The sequence below is a fragment of the Homo sapiens genome, chromosome 21 (assembly GCF_000001405.40).
Source record: "Homo sapiens chromosome 21, GRCh38.p14 Primary Assembly".
Classification (NCBI taxonomy): domain Eukaryota; kingdom Metazoa; phylum Chordata; class Mammalia; order Primates; family Hominidae; genus Homo; species Homo sapiens.
The window spans coordinates 27,956,648-27,978,671 of NC_000021.9; positions in this window are offsets into that span (position 1 = coordinate 27,956,648).

A 22,024-nucleotide genomic window follows, 5' to 3' on the forward strand; every position below is an offset into this window, starting at 1 on the left:
TTAGAAGAGAAATTAGTTCTTTACCTGAAAATTCTATTTGAAGTGGGAATTAGTCTTTGAAATAAACAAAACCATCACAAATACCAGCATGCTCCGGAAGAATTCATTCCTTTAAAGAGCAATATGTTCCCTCTGCTTCACTGAAGAAAAGGAGTTTGATGGGTAATTCCTAAATTATGTTTTAAAATGTTTATCATAAAGTCTTAGAATAATAGAAGTGCACCTGCAAAAATAAGCATATATTTTGGGTCTTGGTTGTGGTTGTGGCATATGCCTGTAAATGAGCAGAAGTAATTCCAACTGCTTTTGCTGTTATTGCCATTATTGTTTGTTGGTGATACTTTTATGGCTCTGGCAGCCTGGAGACAGAATTTCTTAGATAGATAAAAGATGAAGGGGAAGAATGGGAAGTGAGGAAATGAAAAGGGGAAGAATAGTGCGTGGTATGAATTATGAGAAATCAAAATATAATGCCATGTGACAAAATGTCAATCATTTCTATTTACCTCCACTATTAAAGTTATTAAATTAATCTTTAGAACTATAGACCTGGAAGTTTATTTGAGATGATCCCTGGAATTTATCACTACTATTAGTAATACCCAATTCAGTTCTTAGGTTCCCTTCATTGATATTAACTTACTTATTGGATGAAACTTCATTATCGTTCTTTCTTATGCATTCTAGGTACCCAATACTTTAACTGAAAAGCAAAATTTTAAAAATAGTCTTGAAAATTATTTTTAAGTTTAGAAAGAACCTGCTATAAACAGAAAAGGTGAGGTTGGAGGAGAGAAACTCATGAGAAACCAAATAGCCAAAGTAATGAGTAGCCCTTTTTTGAGAACTTATTAAACTAATCAATGGTAAGAAAATATCTCTAAAATAATTGGGAAAACTAGACTAGTCACTATTTTTTTTTAAATTTTTATTTTGATCTTAGGAACAGCATGAAAATTATGTAAATTCCTGTTTTCTTCGTGATGATACCAAATTATGTATTAACAAAATTGAATGATGTCTGGAATGTGTTTTAAAGCATTCTAAAAAAAAGTAGTATTACGAAACAAGATTTCAAAATATTGATTATTGTTGAAGATGAATTATGGGATTTCCATAAACTAAAAAAACCAACATTGTATTTCATGTAAGTTAATAAGCTGAACCTAAAATGTGCATGATTGATCAAAACCCTGGAATTAGACAAGGCACTCCTGAAGAAGAAAGACATGAGAGGACCTATCTTATCATATTTCAGGACTTATTACAAAACAGTATTAATTCATGCATATAACAATTAATTATTGAATATCTGTTATTTGCTAGGCATACTTATTGATGTTTAAAATACAGCAGTGACAGTATAGTATTGGTGCCGAGATAGACAAGTAGATAAGGTGAATAGAATATAGAAGCCAATGATGGATCCCTGCATATATTTATACTTAATATATGACTTGCCTGGGAAGAAAGACTCAACAAATGCTGCAGGAACGATTAATCATTCACAATAAAATAAATAAAATTTGATCTCTGCATAACTTGCCTACACACACACACACACACACACACACACACACACACGCAAAATCCTCAGAACACACAGATTAGATTCCCGGCAGATTATAGACATAAAAGATAAAAACTAACGTCTTACAAGAAAACATAAGCAATGTATTTGATCTGAATGTAAAGAAAAATGTCTTAAACAAGGTGCAGTAAGTGCAAAGCATAAAAAAGTTTATAAATTTGACATTAAAATTAAAAACTTCTGTGTATCAAAGCATCCTGAAGAAAAAGTAAACACACACACAGAATCAAGAAAGAATATGTTTTCAAAATCTGTAACTAACTCCTACAAATCAATAACAAATAAGCTATGCAACCCCCAAAATGAGCAAAAATAAGGAGAAATCAGCAGCGTGCTGAAGAGGAAGCATAAAATGTGAAAAATTGTAGGATAAGTTGATCAACGTCTTATGCTGCTGGTGAGGATATAATATGGCATAACCATTTTGAAGACGCACTTTTGCATTATCTTGTAAATTTGAAAATATACATCATCTATGACCTAGCAAGTACACTATTAAATAAATGTCCTGGCAAAACTTCTGCTCACAGCGTAACATGAGTATTGATTCTTCTATTCTTCTAACAGCATCATTGGGTCACTCAGTAGTGTTTCACTGGTGACTGGTTTCATCTGAAATTTTTTATAAAGTTTATTTTAGGTTCAGGGGTACATGTGCAGGGTTGTTATATAGAAAAAACTCGTGTCACTGGGTTTTTTGTACAGATTATTTCATCATGTAAACTTAGTACTCAATTGTTACTTTTTCTGATCCTCTCCCTCTTTCCACCCTCCACCCCCAAGTAGGCTCTAGTGTCTGTTGTTCCCTTCTTGTGTTTTCATCATTTAGCTCCCATTTATAAGTGAGGATATGCTATATTTGGTTTTCTGTTCCTATGTTAGTTTTCTAAGGATAATGGCCTCCAGCTCCATCCATGTTCATACAAAGGACATGACCTCATTCTTTTTTTATGGATGCATAGTATTCTATGGTGCATATGTGCTTATGTGTACCACATTTTCTTTATTCAGTCTACCATTGATGGGCACTTATATTGATTCCATGTCTTTGCTGTAGTGAATAGTGCTGCAATGAACATACATGCCCATGTGTCTTAATGGTAGAATTATTTACATTTCTTGGTATATACCCAGTAATGGGATTCCTGAGTCTAATGGTAGTTCTGGTTTTAGCTCTTTGAAGAATCATCATACTGCTTTCTGCAATGATTGAACTAATTTACACTCCCACCAACAGTATATAAGTGTTCCCTTTTCTCTGCAACCTCTCCAGCCCCTACTATTTTTTTACTTTTTGATAATAGCCATTCTGACTGGTATGAGATAACATCTCATTGTGGTTTTTATTTGCATTTTTCTGATGACAAATGATTTCAGCTTTTTTTTTCATATGCTTGTTGGCTTCATGTATATCTTCTTTTGAAAAGTGTCTGTTCACATCATTTGCCCACTTTTAAATGGGGCTGTTTGTTTCTTCCTTATAAATTTATTTACTTTCCTTAAACAAATTAAAAAAATTAAAAAGCTGGATATTAGACCATTGTCAGATGCATAGTTTGCAAATATTTTATCCCATTCTGTAAGTTGTCTGTTTACTCATTGATAACTTCTTTTGCTGTGTAGAAACTCTTTAATTTAATTAGATTCTATTTGTCAAGTTTTGTTTCTGTTGCAGTTGTTTTTGGCATCTTCGTTGTGAAATTTTAGCCAATTCCTGTGTCCAGAATGGTATTTCCTAGGTTGTCTTCCAAGGTTTTTATAGTTTTGAGAACTACATTTAAGTGTTCATTCCATCTTGAGTTGATTTTTGTATATTGGACAAGTAAGGGGTCCAGTATTAATCTTCTACATATGGTTAGCCAGTTACCTTAGTGTTGCAGAAAGTTCAGGGACCCCAAACGGAGGGACCGGCTGGAGCCGTGGCAGAGAAATATGAATTGTGAAAATTTCATGGACATTTATCAGTACCCAAATAACACTTTTATAATTTTTTATGCCTGTTCTTTACTTTAATCTCTTAATCCTGTTATCTTCGTAAGCTGAGGATATATGTCACCTCAGGACCACTGTGATAATTGTGTTAACTGTACACATTGATTGTAAAACATATGTGTTTGAACAATAAGAAATCAGTGCACCTTGAAAAAGAACAGTATAACAGCAATATTTAGGGAACAAGGGAAAACAACCATAAGGTCTGACTGCCTGTGGGATCGGGCAAAAAGAGCCATATTTTTCTTCTTGCAGAGAGCCTATAAACAGACATGCTAGTAGGAGAGATATTGCTAAATTCTTTTCCTAGCAAGGAATATTAATATTAATACCCTGGGAAAGGAATGCATTCCTGGGGGGAGGTCTATAAACGACCACTCTGAGAGTGTCTGTCTTATACAGTTGAGATAAAGACTGAGATACGCCCTGGTCTCCTGCAGTACCCTCAGGCTTATTAGGGTGGGGAAGAAACTCTGCCCTGGTAAATTTGTGGTCAGAACGGTTCTCTGTTCTTGAACCCTGTTTTCTGTTGTTTAAGATGTTTATCAAGACAATACGTGCACAGCTGAACATAGACCTTTATCAGTTGTTCTGCTTTGTCTTTGTCCTGTTCCCTCAGAAGCATGTGATCTTTGCTCTGCTTTTTGCCCTTTGAAGCATGTGATCTTTGTACCTACTCCCTGTTTTACACCCCTTCCCCTTTTGAAACCCTTAATAAAAAACTTTCTGGTTTGAGCCTCAGGTGAGCATCATGGTCCTACCGACATGTGATGTCACCCCCAGCGGCCCAGCTGTAAAATTCCTCTCTTTGTACTCTTTCTCTTTATTTCTCAGCCAGCTGACACTTATGGAAAATAGAAAGAACCTACATTGAAATATTGGGGTTGGGTTCCCCCGATACCCTAGTACCGTTTATTAAATACGAAGTTCATTCCCCACTGCTCATTTTTGTCAACTTTTTTGAAAATCAGATACGTAGTTATAGGTGTATGGCTTATTTCTGGGCTCTCTAGTCTGTTCCATTGATCTATGTGTCTGCTTTTGTACCATGAGGTCCATGTTGTACCAACAGGTCCACGTTGTACCAACAGGACCAAGCTGTTTTAGTTACTACAGCCCTGTAGTATAGTTTGAAGTCGAGGAACGTGATGCCTCCTGCTTTGTTGATTTTGTTTAGGATTGCCTTGGATATTCAAGTTCTTTTCTGGTTCCATATAAATTTTAAAATAGTTTTTTTCTAGTTCTGTAAATAATATCATTGGTAGTTGGATAGGAATAGTATTGATTTTGTAAATTGCTTTGGACAGTATGACCATTTTAACCATATTAATTTCTTCCTATCCATGAGCATGAAATGTTTTTCCATTTGTTTGTTTCATCTCTGATTTTTTAAGCAATGTCTGGTAATTCTCATTGTACTGATCTTTCAACTCCCTGGTTAGCTGTTCCTAAGAACTTTATTATTTTTGTGAGTATTGTGAATTGAATTGTATTTTTGACTTTGCCCTCAGCTTGGCTGTTTTTGGTGTATAGGAATGCTAGTAATTTTTTTTTTTTTTTTTTTTTTTTTTTTTTTTTTTTGAGACAAGATCTTGCTCTGTTTCCCAGGCTGGAGTACAGTGGCAAGATCGTGGCTCACTACAGCCTCTGCCTCCCAAGTTCAAGCAATCCTCCCATCTCAGCTAACCCAGTAGGTGGTAACACAGGTGCATGCCACCACATCCACCTAATTTTTTATGTTTTGTAGAGACAAGGTATCACCATGTTTTTCAGGGTGGTCTTGGGCTCCTGGGTTCAAGCAATCCACCCACCTCAGCCTCCCAAAGTGCTGGGATTACAGGCATGAGACACTACACCTGGCTGGAATGCTAGTGATTTTTGTACATTGATGTATCCTGAAACTTTGCTGAAGTTGTTTATCAGCTGAAGGAGCTTTTGGGCTGTGACTATGGGGTTTTCTAGATATAGAATCATATCGTCTGCAAATAGGGATAGTTTGACTTCCTTTCTTCCTATTTGGGTGTCGTTTATTTCTTTCTCTTGCCTGATTACGCTGGCCTGGACTTCCAATACTTCGATGAATAGGAGTGATGGAGAGGGTATTTTTGTCTTGTGCCGGTTTTCCAGAGAAATGTTTCAAGCTTTCGCCCATTCAGTAAGATGTCGGCTATGGATTTGTCATAGATGGATCTTACTATTTTAAGTCTGTTCCTTCAATAGCTAGTTTCTTGAGAGTTTTTAACATGAATGAATGTTGAGTTTTATCAGAAGCTTTCTCTGCATCTATTGAGATAATCATGTAGTTTTTGTATTTAGTTCTGTTTATGTGATGAATCACATTTATTTTTGTTTTTATTTATTTATATGTTTTGAGACAGAGTCTTGCTCTGTCACCATTCTGGAGTACAGTGGCGCAATCTCAGCTCACTGCAACCTCCACCTCCCAGGTTCAAGCAATTCTGCTGCCTCAGCCTCCCAAGTAGCTTGGACTTCAGGCACGCACCAACACACCCGGCTAATTTTTTGTATTTTAGTAGAGATGGGGTTTCACCATGTTGGACAAGATGGTCTCTATCTCCTGACCTTGTGATCTGCCCACCTCAGCCTCCCAAAGTGTTGGGATTACAGGCGTGAGCCACCGCACTCTGCCAAATCACGTTTATTAATTTGCATATGTTAAACCACCTTTGCATCTCAGGGATAAAGCTAACTTGATCATGATGGACTAACTTTTTGTTGTGCTGCTGGATGTGTTTCGCTAGTGTTTTTTTGTTGAAGATTTTTTCATCAATGTCCATCAAAGATATTGGCCTGAAGTTTTCTTTTACTGTTGTGTTTCTGTCAGACTTTAATATCAGGATGATGCTGGCCTCAAAGAATAAGTTGGGGAGGAGTCCTTCCTTCTCATTTTTTTCAAATAGTTTCAGTAGAAACGTTACCAGCTCTTCTTTGTACAGCTGGTAGAATTTGTCTATGAATCTGTCTGGTCCTGGGCTTTTATTTGGTTGGTAAGCTATTTATTACTGATTCAGTTTTAGAGATCATTGCAGGTGTGTTCAGGAATTTAGTTTCTTTCTGGTTCAGTCTTGGGAGGGTGTATGTGTCCTTTATCAGGACTTTTTGTTAAGACTTCACTCACATGCCTGGTCTCTTAATGGGGCAGTTGAAGGCTGGCCTCTGATGAATGGGCTTCTGTCTCTCTAAATGTAGTCTTACAGCCTTTCCATAAAGTCCCTTAGCAGAGAAGTCAGACTACCCTTTGAGTGTATAGAGACTACATTGCAGCTTAGGTCTTCTATATATCAAAGCAGAAACTGCAAATCCTCTTTGAAGCTAGATCTGAAACTGGCATAACTTCATTTTCTCTACATTCAGCTGATGAAAGGCATCACAGGTCAGTCTAGTTCAAGAAGAGGAAATAGTTCAAATCTTGTACTGGAAGATTATGAAGGAATTTACAGATTTTTTTTTTTTTTTTTGAGACAGAGTCTCGCTCTATCATCCAGGCTGGAGTGCAGTGGTGCAATCTCAGCTCATTGCAAGCTCCGCCTCCCAGGTTCATGCCATTCTCCTGCCTCAGCCTCCCAAGTAGCTGGGACTACAGGTGCCTGCCACCACGCCCGGCCAATTGTTTGTATTTTTAGTAGAGACAGGGTTTCACCATGTTAGTCAGGATGGTCTCGATCTCCTGACCTCATGATCCACCTGCCTTGGCCTCCCAAAGTGCTGGGATTACAGGTGTGAGCCACCACGCCCAGCCAGAATTTACAGATATTTTTAAGCCACAGAATGTTCATGACAGTCTTGCTCATAACAATAACATGAGAACAACTTAAATGTCCATCTGTGAAAAAAATCTCATAGCTCACAAAATGAAACACTACATAACAGTGAAAATCCACTGAAGGCATTATATGTTGTCAAACAGATGAATCTTAGGAACAATTTTGTTGTTGTTTTTAACGTAAAAAGTTTTTTTCAATACAACACATTCTTATTAACTATAGTCACCATGTTGTACAATAGATCTCTTGAATGAATTCCTCATATGTAACTGAAATTTTGTATCCTTTGACTAATATCTCCCCAACCCCTTTTCCACAAGCCCCTGATAGCCGTCATTCTAGTCTCTACTTTTATGAGTTCAACTTTTTAAAATTTGACGCGTAAATAAGACTATGCAGTATTTGTCTTTCTTTCTTTGGCTTATTTCACTTAGCCTGATGTAGTCCGGTTTCATCTATATTGTTGCAAATGTAAGATTTCCCTTTCCTTTTATGGGAAAATAGTATTCCCTTGTGTATATACACCACAATTTCTTTATCCATTCATCTGTTGATGGACACTTACTTAGATTGGTTTCTTATCTTGGCTGTTGTGAATAATGCTGCAATGAACAATGACGTGAAGATCTCTTTCTGATATGTTGATTTCACTTCCTTTAGATATACACTTAGTAAGTAAATAGCTGCAACATATAGTAATTCTATTTTTAATTTTTTGAGGATCCTCTATATTGCTTTTCATAGTGGGTGCACTAATTTACATTCCTACCAACAATGTGCAAAGACTACCTTTTCTCCACAGCTGCACCTATTGTTATCATTCATCTTGATAATAGCCATTTTAGCAGGTGCAATTTCTCATCAGGAATTTTTTCCTAATATCTCAGACTTGGAAATTTGCATTTATCTGATGATTAGTGATGTTGCACACTTACTTACATACCTGTTAACCATTTGTATATCTCCTTTTGAGTGAAGTCTGTCCAGATATTTTACCCATTTATTTATTTTATTTATTTATTTATTTATTCATTCATTTTGAGATGGAGTTTCACTCTTGTTACCCAGGCTGGAGTGCAATAGCGTGATTTCGGCTCAGTGCAACCTCCTCCTTCCAGGTTCAAGCGATTCTCTTTCCTCAACCTCCCAAGTAGCTGGGATTGTAGGCATGTGCCACCATGCCCAGCTAATTTTGTATTTTTAGTAGAGACGGGGTTTTGTCATGTTGACCAGGATGGTTTTGAACTCCCGACCTCAGGTGATCCACCCACCTCGGCCTCCCAAAGTGCTGGGATTACAGGGGTGAGCTACTGTGCGCGGCCTTTTGCCCATTTTTAATTGTTTGTTTACTATTGAGTTGCTTGAGTCCCTTATGTATTTTGGATAGTGGCTCCTTATCAGATAGGTGGTTTGCAAATATTTTCTGCCATTCCATAGGTTTTCTCTTCACTCTGCTGATTGTTTCTTTGGCTGTGCAATAGCTTTCTATTTGATGTGATCCTATTTGTCTATTTTTGCTTTCGTTGCTTAGGAATGTTATAAGTCCTTCAATTAATCTTCAAGTTTTAGACCCTTTAAAAAAAAACATTCTTTTTGAGCCGTTAAAATATGCTTTGCAGAAGACTGGTACCAGCTGCTTGGAAATTTCCTCCTATATTCCTTCAGTCTTCAGTCATTTCTGCTCAGCTTCATTTATGCTCATGGTCTCATCATCCACCTCCAGAATGTTTTTAAAATCCTTCATACATTGATGGTATTTCTTATTTCTCTTCTCATCTGCATTTTATTTCACAGGGCTCTGTGATGATTGTGTGTGTATAGCTAATTGTCCTGTGCAATAGGTTTTATGTATGCATTTTCTGAATTACAACCATGAGAATACTGGAGCCAAGATAATGGGATCCAAAATTGACAAATCTCAATTCACATCGTTTTGCACTCCTTAAAAGGAAAGGACTTAATAAATGTTAGTAACCTGTACACAATATTTATACACAATTTGCTAGTTTTGAATTATAGAGAATGGCAGTCAAAAAAGGGGAACATAATCTGTTCGTTATTTTGGTTTCTTCAAATATATGTTAAAAATTTTAAATGAACATTCTAATGATAAAATATTTTAATTTTAGAAGAGTGTTATCTTGGGACTTTTAGGCCCTGTAATGTCTCTTGGAATTCAAAAGCTTTTGCATAATAATGTTTTGATGAGTTTAAGTGTAAATGTAAATAAAAAAATAATAAGGATTAAATTTTCTTTGACACATATGTGAAAATTTTGAGAAAAAACATGTCTGGCACATATGTTCTGGAGTCAGTAAAACAGGAACTATGAGCAAATTGTCCCAAAGTAGTTCACAAAACACAAAATCCACAAGAAAAGGGTATCCAATTCACCCCGCAAAACAGAGGACAAACGTGTATTACTAAATTAACAGAGGTAGATCCATATATTTTATTTGTTTCCTTGGGAATATAGAATGTCTTAAAAGTTGAATCTCAATAAATCAGTTTTATGCAGTGTTCTGATATGTTATACTCATTTTGCTTCTAAAACCTTCTAGAATCCTGTATAAGACTAGTTAACCAATTGGGAACAACGTTAGCAAATATTTCCACACACACACACACACACACACACACGCACAGATGGCCAGAGTTTTGCTTAAACATCTTTCTATTGCAGTCAGAACTATTCCTTCATAGAGAAACTAATGTGTATATTTTTAATAACAGGTTTATATTATTGAAATGACTGTCACACATGCTGACCCAGAGGCTGTGAGGACAATAGCAGTCCTACAGTTGTACAGAATTTAAAAAGGAATGAAATATTTTATATCAAATATGAACTTGGTTGTACTTGTTGCAATAGATGGACTTAATTTAAAGCCAAAAGCATATTTCAATTCCCTTATTTCCTAACACAAAGTAAAAGAGGCAGATGGATACTGTCATATAAGAACAAGTTTGACCAAAATGGTCTTAACTGGAAGGTTAATGATAATAAATTAAATTAAATGTAAACAACCAAATGAAACTGAATGTTCTGCCAGAAGCAGCAAAAATATATCTCAGAGTAATAAACCATAACATCTTCAGGAAAGTTCCCAGGGAAACAGTCTTAATTCTCTCAGCAGGTACTACCTATATTAAAGGGTTTTTTTCTAGCATGAAGTTTATAATTTGTAACTGCTAATGAATCAGATTATATTTGCCAGGTTCATCCAGTAAATTACTGTTGTTGTTGCTGTTGCTGTTCTTGTTATTTTATGAACATAGCATTGGAGAGAGAAGTTAGAAAATGGGTGCTTATGACCAAAACACATTTTAAGGTCAGTTCACTTCAAGACAGCAAAATGGATTCAAGGTCTTCTTTAAAATGAGGAATTGTTTTAGTCTGCTTTGCTGTTGCTATAGCAGGATACCTGAGACTGGGTAGTTTAAAAAGAAGAGAAATTTATTTCTTAGAGTTCTAAAAAAAAAAGTCGAAGTTCCAGGGGCTCATATCTGGTGAGGGCCTTCTTGCGCATCATCCCATGGAAGAAGGCAGAAGGGAAAGAAAGGATGTAAGAGTGAAAATGCACAAGAGGGCCAAGCTTGCTTTCATAACAAGCCCACTCTTGCAATAATTAACCCATTCCTGTGAGACCAACACTAATCCATTGATGAGGTCTCTGCCGTCATGACCTAATCACTTCCTACTAGACCCTACTTTCCAACCCTGTTGCATTAGGGGTTAAGTTTCTAACACATGAATTATGGGAGAGACATTCAAACCATAGCAGGAATCTCTTTTTCTAATTATTGCTAATTTTCAAAAGTGAGGGCTATCTACCTTCTCTACAAACAGGAATTACAGACTTTAGACTGAACACAGTGTCACAATGTGGTAATGATCAAATGCTGTTCATATTAAAATCACTTGAGAGAAACGTTAAATATACAGATTCCTGAGCATCAGTCCAGGTTCAGCCAGATACTGAATCAGAATCTGCTGTGTTGGGGCTCAGGAATCATTAATTTGTAGAGCCACATTTGGAAGCTACTGCCTTGAAAGACATAGAAAGGAGGGACTTATCTCTTACTTTTCCTCAGGATCTTTTCTGAATTTGCAGATATTTGGGCTAGGACAAACATCACATATCTTCAAGGGAGAATTGTAGTATAAACATCAGGAACAGGTGCCTACACAAGATTGTCCCCTCCTGCCTAAATTTACTTGATGCTACTTGTAATCCAGATGCTTATGCAAAGATGCTTGTGGGTTTAGGAACCATTTGCAGAGAACAAAGAGAAAGAACTAATATATAGAGAATACATTATGCATCAGATACTTATTACTTTTATGTACCTTATATAAGTAAAACCTCCATCACACATACTGGAATGCATCATTAGTATTATTCACATTGTACAAATGAGGATTGCAACAGAGAGAAGAATGAGACATTCAAACTAGGCCATGAGGCATGCAAATGGCACAGCTGGGATTCAAACTTAGCTCCAACTCTTCCAAAAATAGCAGGAGAGTCAGAATCTGTTTCATTTCTTTTACCTTTCAATATCTACAATATGAATATACTGGTCAAATATAATGAAACTTCATTTATTAGATACAGTTGGGGGAGAGACAGGCATATCTTTTCTAATACATTGGGAAATCTGAAATATGTGATCACCAGAATAAGGGATCTGCATGATACCACAGTCTCCATCTGATGTAGTTTAATTTTAGGAAATGTATGATCGATGTGTCAATGTTCTGATTCTCTCTTATTATGAATTTATCATAGTATTAATAGTTGAATCATTAAAATCCTAAGCCTTGATTTAGCATCTTGTATTTATTAATTGCTTTTAGCTTATTTCAAGAAAGCAAAGTGCTTCATTTATTGAAGAAAATCTACAAAACAGTTATTTTTTAAAATTGAAGATTGCAAAATTGTTAAATATATAATATAGTTGTTGCCTTTATTTGCTTCTTCCATAAATGTAATTTTTATGAGATGTTTCATAAAAATATTCTGGAATTCAAAGCAAAGCACTATACGTAAAGTTACAAGCAAGTGGAAGGCAAGATGTTTCAACAGTTTTGTACTCAGCCATTTATGACCAACTCCAACGGTCACTGCAATCCTGACATTTCAGAGAAAACGAAAATGTTTCTGTCCATACTGGCCCTTTACTTTTTCTAGTCATTTATTCAGCAACATCTGTTTGCTGCTGTTAATTAAACATTGAACAAGTAGCTATTGGCTTACTTGGAAAAAGCCTGGAGGTCAACTTTACACACTGGACTTCTATAAATTCTGTGAAAAGAAAAATCAGATCTCATTTATTTCAAGCTCAATTTCATCAATCACAGGGTCTGGCATGAAACTAAGGCTCTTCTAACACTCGGTAAATAAATGAGCAAGTGTGCTGGTGGGTCCTTCTGTGAATGGTATTTTTTTTCTATTCATTCTATATATTCCACTCTTCACGATTCCCAAACAAGAGACGTTACTTCTCCCTTTTGAATGAGTCAATGCAATGAGATATCACTTCATAAAATAACCTTGAAGACAAATTTAAGTGTTCTTTCTTTTAAAATGTAGATATCGGCCAGGCGCAGTGGCTCACGCCTGTAATCCCAGCACTTTGGGAGGCTGAGGTGGGCGGATCACGAGGTCAGGAGATTGAGACCATCCTGGCTAACACGATGAAACCCCATCTCTACTAAAAACACAAAAAGTTAGTCGGGCATGGTGGCGGGCGCCTGTAGTCCCAGCTACTCGGGAGGCTGAGGCAGGAGAATGGCGTGAACCCCAGAGACGGAGCTTGCAGTGAACCGAGATCGCGCCACTGCACTCCAGCCTGGGCGACAGAGCAAGACTCCGTCTCAAAATAAATAAATAAATAAATAAATAAATAAATAAATAAATAAATAAATAATAAATTAAAAAAATAAAATGTAGATATCACAGCGGAAAAAAGGGCAGTATGAAAAGTCCTAGGCCCTTCAGATGAAAATGAGGATAAGATAATATGAAATACCTGAACAACTTGCTTTTTCAATGGGGACATAATCACAAGATGCAGATGTGTGTGCAAAGAACACACATGCACCAGATAAAATAAACATAAGTGCCCTTTCTACAGACAGAACACCTGGCTTTGTGGAAAGTTAGAAGGCCACACAATGCCTCAGAAAATGCATAAAATAAACTAAAACTAAGCACTAAATTCAATACTAAAACCCCTTCATCTGGGACTCAAGTTACCATTCGATTAGCATGCAACTATAATAACATATGCCTAAACTTTCCAAAAACCCACAATCTTGAAAGAAAGTGGTCCCATGACATGCAGGTATCTGAGTTAGCAGTTCTGCTTCAATGAAGAGAAAGCAAAAAGGAAAAGGGAGCTATCATCTATTGAGCACTTAATACATTCCAGGTGCTATGAAAGGTACTTTATTTAGGTCATCTCCCTCCCTTTAAACATGAAGGAACAAATGGCAAGGTAAGAACAAATAATATTATAGGTTTCAATAAACAATATCAATATTTTATTCATAATTATTACCTGTCTCTGGCATTCCCTATCCACCAGTCTAGAAAAATATGTGACAAAAATGAAACAAAAGAATAAAATACATTTTTTTCTAACTTGCTGATAGAAGGTTGATCATTGGAACTCTAAATGCATGGAAAAGTCTTCTATCTAATTTAAAAGGTAGATTTTTTTTTTTTTTTTTCGAGATGGAGTCTCACTCTGTCGCCCCGGCTGGAGTGCAGTGGCGCGATCTCAGCTCACTGCAAACTCCGCCTCCCGGGTTCACGCCATTCTCCTGCCTCAGCCTCCCGAGTAGCTGGGACTATAGGCGCCCGCCACCACGCCAGGCTAATTTTTTTGTATTTAAGTAGAGACGGGGTTTCAGGATGTTAGCCAGGATGGCCTCGATCTCCTGACCTCGTGATCCACCCTCCTCGGCCTCCCGAAGTGCTGGGATTACAGGCGTGAGCCACCGTGCCCGGCCAAAAGGTAGATTTCTTTTGAAAGTCTAACTGCCATCTCTTATACTCATGTTGAAATAAATTAGGAAGAACATATTAATTCTCACTTGTGTTGTCCCCTGTTTTTGCATAAAAAATAATATTGTCTCGTGTTCTCTCAATTTCATACTTGAAAATCAGAGGGCACAGATATGAGGATACATACTGATGCTAGTCCAACTATGCTGAATACCCATATCAAACTTGTATACCTTATATAATTTTACCCTATTAAAACATGATCATTGACCTTGGACAAGCTACTTAACAGCTCCAAGTTGAAATTTTCTCATCCGTGATATGGGTCTTTCTGTAATATGTACTTATAGAGTTGTTGAAGATATTAAATTACATAATACATGTTAATTATTTAGCACATGGTAAATACTAATGAATATAGGCTATTTATCCTAGTTTGTACAATACCTACCCAAATGGTGAGATCTGGGAAAGAAATTTAACGGTGGTCACAGCTTACCAAAGGGATTTTCTATCCTACCAAGCTGACAAGCTCCTATCCTATACTTGCTGAGAGATGTCTGATTACTGACGGTGCACAGTTTAGGCCTAAGGAATAACTCTCGGTATATACACAAACACATCCATATGCAGCTCCATTAGAAAATATATCATTAAAATATCAGTACTTTGATTGTTTTTCCAACTAAAATATAATATTAAGTATATTTATTAACATATTTAAGTACAACATATAGTAAAAATAACATGAATAATGACATAAACCTATTAAAAGATAATTAATTATTTAGGCTACTGATTTGTATACCCCCATCAATTTATAGGAACTAAACATATACAAGAAGATATTATCCTTTGGGGCATGTCTAGATTTCAAAATGAGTCTAAAGATCTCTTTTAATGTTTTTCCTGAGGAAATAAAGCATTTTATTTTAATAAAATATTTATAAAACTGGCTGGATTATTATACATCAGGGAAGACAAGTTAGTCTTAGCTTGAATATCAATGGTGATTAATTAGCAATGGATATGTGCTCCCCAGAGTGCCATACCATAAGGAAGTGTCTGGAACAAACCCAGATAAGGTGGGAGGTCTGAGAGCTGTATATTTGCTATACTGGCTTTTGTTTTAATTTTAAATATATATTGTCAGTCCATAGAAGCTCTAGATGAAACAAAAACGAAGTTTCCCATTTTAAATAAATACTTAAGAAAATTTAAAAAGTCGAACTAAAGGGGAAACTTTGACATAAAATTTTATGAAAATATATATTTCTTTTTTGAGGACTGTATCATTTTGGTGCACACTTTTTTTTTTTTTTTTTAAGATCCAGGGTACATGTGCAGGATGTGCAGGTTTGTTACATAGGTAAACGTCTGCCATGGTGATTTGCTGCACCTATCAACCTATCACCTAAGTATTAAGCCCAACATGCATTAGTTATTTTTCCTGGTGCTCTCCAATCCCCCACCGCCACCTGCCTCTAGGCCCCATTGTGTGTTGTTCCCCTCCCTGTGTCCTTGCGTTCACATTGTTCAGCTCCACTTGTAATTGAGAACATGTGATATTTGATTTTCTGTTCCTGTGTTAGTTTGTTGAGGATAATGGCTTCCAGCTCCATCCATGTCCTTGTAAAGGAGATTATCTCATTCCTTTTTAGGGCTGCATAGTATTCCATGGTGTATATGTACCACATTTTCTTTATCCAGTCTGTCATTGATGGGCATTTCATTTAAGTCCATGTCTTTGCTATTGTGAATAGTGCTGCAATGAACATATGTGTGCATTCATCTTTATAATAGAAATGATTTATATTCCTTTGGATATATACCCACTAATAGGATTGCTGGGTCAAATGGTATTTCTGGTTCTAGGTCTTTGAGGAATCACCACACTGTCTTCCACAATGGTTGAACTAATTTACTTTCCCACCAACAGTATAAAATTTTTTGTATCTCTCTGCAGCTCCGCCAGCATCTGTTGTTTCATAACTTTTTAATAGTCGTCATTCTGACTGGTGTGAGATGGTATCTCACTGTGGTTCTGATTTGTACTTCTCTAATGATCAGTGATGTTGAGGGGTTTTTTTACATGTTTGTTGGCCACATAAATGTCTTCTTTTGAGACATGTCTGTTTATGTCCTTTGCCCAATTTTTTTTTTTTTTGAGACAGAGTCTCACTCTGTTGCCCAGGCTGGAGTGCAGTGGCGCCACCTCAGCTCACTGCTACCTCTGACTCCTGGGTTCAAGCAATTCCCTGCCTCAGTCTCCCAAGTAGCTGGGATTACAGGCGCCTGCCACCTTGCCCAGCTAATTTTTGTATTTTTAGTAGAGACGGGGTTTCACTATCTTGGCCGGGCTAGTCTCAAACTCCTGACCTTGTGATCCACCTGCCTCGGCCTCCCAAAGTGCTGGGATTACAGGCGTGAGCCACCAAACCCAGCCTCCTTTGCCCACTTTTTAATGCTATTTTTTTTCTTGTAAATTTAAGTTCCTTGTAGACTTTGGATATTAGACCTTTGTCAGATGAATAGATTTCAAAAATGTTCTCCCATTCTGTAGGTTGTCTGTTCACTCTGAGGATAGTTTCTTTTGCTGTGCAGAAGCTCTTCAGTTTAATCAGATACCATTTGTCAACTTTTGCTTTTGTTGCAATTGCTTTTGATTTTCTCATCATGAAATCTGCCCATGTATATGTCCTGAATGCCATTGCCTAGGTTTTCTTCTAGGGTTTTTGCAGTTTTGGGTTTTACATTTAAGTATTTAACCCATCTTGAATTCATTTTTGTATATGGTGTAACAAGGGGTCCAGTTTCAATTTTCTGCATATGGCTAGCCAGTTCTCCCAGCACCATCTATTAAATAGGGAATCTTTTCCCCATTGCTTGCTTTTGTCAGGTTTTTTGGAGATCAGATGGTTGTAAATATCCGGTTTTATTTCTGAGTTCTTTATTCTGTTCCATTGGTCTATGTGTCTGTTTTTGTACTATGCTGTTTTGGTTACTGTAGCCTTGTAGTATAGTTTGAAGTCAGGTAGAGTGATGCCTCCAGCTTTGTTCTTTTTCCTTAGGATTGTCTTGGCTATACATGCTATTTTTGGTTCCATATGAATTTTAAAATAATTTTTATCTAATTCTGTGAAGAATGTCAACAGTAGTTTAATGGAAATAACATTGAATCTGTCAGTTACTTTGGGCAGAATAACCATTTTTATGATATTGATTCTGCCTATTCATGAGCATGGAATGTTTTTCCATTTGTTTGTGTTCTCTCTGATTTCCTTGAGCACCACTGTTCAAGGAGAACTTGGTGTTTACTTTTGAATTAGTCGTAAATTGGCTGGATTTTGCATTGGTGATTTCTACATTTCTGATGACAAATGAGCAAGTTGAATTAGAGTAGATGAGTTGATGACAGTTGGTGACACTGTTGCTTTGCACTTCTATATACTTGAATGAGCCATCTGATGTTTCAAATACTAAATGTAACCATTTATTAAATGAACTTAGCTAGACTTACATAACCTAAGGTTTGGATGGAACCTTATAAAGATCTTGTCACCTACATTTTTTCTTCACAGATTACTACAAAGGTGGGGGGGGAGAGAGAGTGAGACAGAGAGAGAGAGAGAGAGAAATCATAAAATCTAATGTGATTACATACATAATTTTTCCCAGCAAGTTATTATGGCTATCACTACAAGAAAGATTGCAGATTCACGTTACATTAGTATCCTTCTTTCTGCTTAAAATAGAAATAGCACATGATTTATTTATTTAAAGGAACTTATGTATCCTATATATAATTGATATGGTTTGGCTGGGTCCACACCCAAAACTCATCTTGAATTGCAGCTCCCATAAATCCCACATGCCATGGGAGGGAACGAGTGAAAGGTAATTTAATCAGGACGGCAGGTTTTTCTCATGCTGTTCTCTTGGTAGTGAATAAGTCTCACGAGATCTGATGGTTTTATAAAGGGCAGTTCCCCTACACATGCTCTCTTGCATGCCACCATGTAAGATGTGCCTTGCTCCTCCTTCACCTTCCACCATGACTGGGAGGCCTCCTCAGCCATGTGCAACCATGAGTCCATTAAATCTCTTTTCTTTATAGATTGCCCAGTCTCAGGTATTACTTCATAGTAGCATGAAAATGGACTAATACAATAATGAATGACAAAAGCACATATTTTATAAACTTCTTTGCAATAAGATTAATGAGAGGTCTTTTGCTGGTAAAATAAAAAGTTTTATTATATCAAAACCTCATTTGTAAACTGGTTTTTAATTTAAAGGTAACTTTATGCACCTCAGTATTCTTTTATAAGAAGATGTAACACATGTTCTTTACACTGGGCATTGAAATATCTATAGTATTAGAGTCTTGAACTATCTCCTCTCTCCCTTTTTCTCATTCATAAATTCCTGATATATACAATGATTTGTTTCATTAAGTCTATAACCAGAAACTTATGCTTGATGAGAAACCTTTTAGGAAGTGTTTGTCTGAAGCTATCTACATAGCTTATTGCAATGATTAATTTTTGTGTCAATTTTACTGGGCCATGGGGTGCCCAGAAATTTGGTCAAATATTATTCGGAGCATTTGTGTGGGGGAGTTTTTAAATAAGTTAAATATTTAATTTGGTAGACTTTGAGTTAAGTAGATTGTCCTTGTTAATGTAGGTGGGCCTCATTCAATCAGTTGAAGGGCTGAAGGGAACAAAATCACTAGTTTCTTCAAAGCAAGAGAGAACTCTAAAGCAGACTGCCTTCAGATTAGAACTGTACCACTGGCTTTCCTGAGTCTCCTCTGTCAGCTCACCTTGCAGATTTTGGACTTACTAGCCTTCATACGACATGAGCCAATTCCTTACTATAAATCTCTTTGCATGTGTGTGACCCAACCTCTTTCCCCTCCAACACACACCCTATTAGTTGTGTCTTACTGGAGAACTGTGACTATCATACTCAGTTTATATACGATGGAGAGGTAATTTTTACTGTCACTTTATAATAACTGATTTAATGCTGTCAGCTGTGAATTTTAGTGAATTAAAACTCATATCAAGGGGGGCAAATACAAAAGCTTTGAGTATGAAATAGTTTTGGTACAAGTACAAAGGAAATACAAACTGTCAATGTCTGAGATATTTTTAACACACCAAAAGTTGTACAGAAACAATTAATAAAGATTGAAACAAAGGAGGAAATTGACTTTGTTTTGAGGTGATTATGTGGGAGTCAGTGAGAAACATGCAGTTTGTGACCCTAAAATTTTCTTTGGATCACTTTGGTGTGAGAACTGCTATGTCACTGATGGAGTTGGAGAAGGGTTTAGAGCCAAGTATGTATTCTTAATGATAGTGAGAAATCTGAGGAAATTGTTTAAAGGGACTTTTAAGAATTAAGTCTGGAAATTCCTTGTAAAAAAAAAATTGAGGACAGTCAGGAGAAAATACCAGCAAATAAAGGGGACATTGAAACCATTCATTCAGATTAAATTTGTGCAGAATAAATGTAGAGAAAAACAAAACTAAAAACTAATGCTTGAGGAATTACTCCAATCCAGTGGGAGGAGAAGAAAGAGAAGGTAGTGAAAGAAATAAACATTCAGAAAGTAAGAAAAGAATTAGAGATAGTCTAATGTAGCCAGAAGTACATATCCCAGACCTTAGAAAATGGTTTTCACCGTCTCAGATTTTTCTGAAGTAAATATAAACAAATCCATTTTCTGTCTCTTCTTCCTTTAATTACATTATTATCCATTGGTCAAAGCAATATGAACCAATTCTAGTAGAAATTACATTGAAAGCTCCAATGAAATAGGATTTTCTTGGGAGTCACCCAAGAAATAGATTTTCTGAGCAGAGGTTTACACTTAGGTATGGTACTAATAAAGATTATCTGCAATAAGATTGGCAATGACAAATTGCCTACTATAGTAATAGCTTCATTATATAGAATTATTACTTGGAAAATTAATTTTAATTGAAAACAATTTATCTGAGTGGTAGAAGTAAAAAGATTCTCCCGGCAGAGCTTATACCTGCTGTGTCTACTTAGCAGTGATTATTTCCCTAACTTTCTATTGACTCAAGGCTTTCTGTGCTCTATATTTTCCTCATGCATATAAAATTATTTCCACAGATAGGAACACAGCATTTCTTTGCATTTAATCTTCATTTATAACCAAATTACTATATGAAACTTATATATCTGCATCTCATTTGGGAAAAAACTGGTACTTGCAAGAAAGTTTATTGGCAATAAAAAGAATGTATTTAAATTTACACACACACACACACACACACAAATTCAGAATAAAGTCATCTCCTGATAGCTTCTCCCATTTACAATATTTGTTCAAGGAATGAAAACTACATATTCCTTATTAAAAACATTTTTCCTCCATTATGATTTGAAATTGTCAAATAAGAGGAGTGGTCATATCCCAAATCAAAAATTCTTTTTGAGCTGCACTTCTCCCTGATTAAGTATTTAATCCTCACCTAAAGGTCTCTCTAAAGTTGAGGTCTTGAAAAATTCCTTCTTGGTGTATCTTCCAAATAGAAATGCACTGTTAAAGCTTTCGTACAATAAGAACACATTTGGAATTACGTATCTGATTCATTGCTACAGTTTACAACTAGAACCTAGGAGTTTCCACTGAAAACTGAGATAATCACTCATGGTAATTTAAGAATCGTAACTTTTCTGGATGTTTCCTACTACCATCATATTTGTAGAAAATAGGAAATACCTGTTTTAAAAAGATTCCACAGAAATGTGTTTAATATATATCACTATGCACAAATAGATGCACAAATTTATACTGTCTTTTGTCATTGTTTTTTTTTTTTTTTTTTTTTAGATGGAGCCTGGCTCTGTCACCCAGGCTGGAGTGCGGTGGTGTAATCTCAGCTCACTGCAACCTCCACCTCTCGGGTTCAAGCAATTCTCCCGCCTCAGCCTCCCGAGTAGCTGGGATTACAGGGGCCCGCCATCGTGCCCAGCTAATATTTGTAATTTTGTAGAGATGGGGTTTCACCGTGTTGGCCAGGCTGGTTTTGAACTCCTGATCTCAGGTGATTTTTTTTTTTATATATACTTTAAGTTCTGGGATACATGTCCAGAATGTGCAGGTTTGTTACATAGGTATAATGTGCCATGGTAGTTTGCTGCACCCATCTCCCCATCATCTAGGTTTTAAGCCCTGCATGTATTAGATATTTGTCCTAATGCTCTCCCTCCTCTTGCCCCACAACCCCTGACAGGCCTCAGTGTGTGATGTTCCCCTCCCTGTGTCCATGTGTTCTCACTGTTCACCTCCCACTAATGAATGAGAACATGCGGTGTTTGGTTTTCTGTTCTTGTGTTAGTTTGCTGAGAATGACGGTTTCCAGCTTCATTCCTGCCCTGGCAAAGGACATGAACTTATTCTTTTTTATGATTGCATAGTATTCCATGGTGTTTATGTGCCACATTTCTTTATCCAGTCTATCATTGATGGGCATTTGGTTTGGTTTGGCTTTGAAACTGCAATCCCTTTTCCCAAAAATCCCCACTTTTCCCACTTTCTGAATTAAGCTCACACAGCAGGTTGGCATTTAAGACATACCACTCTCTGGGAAAAA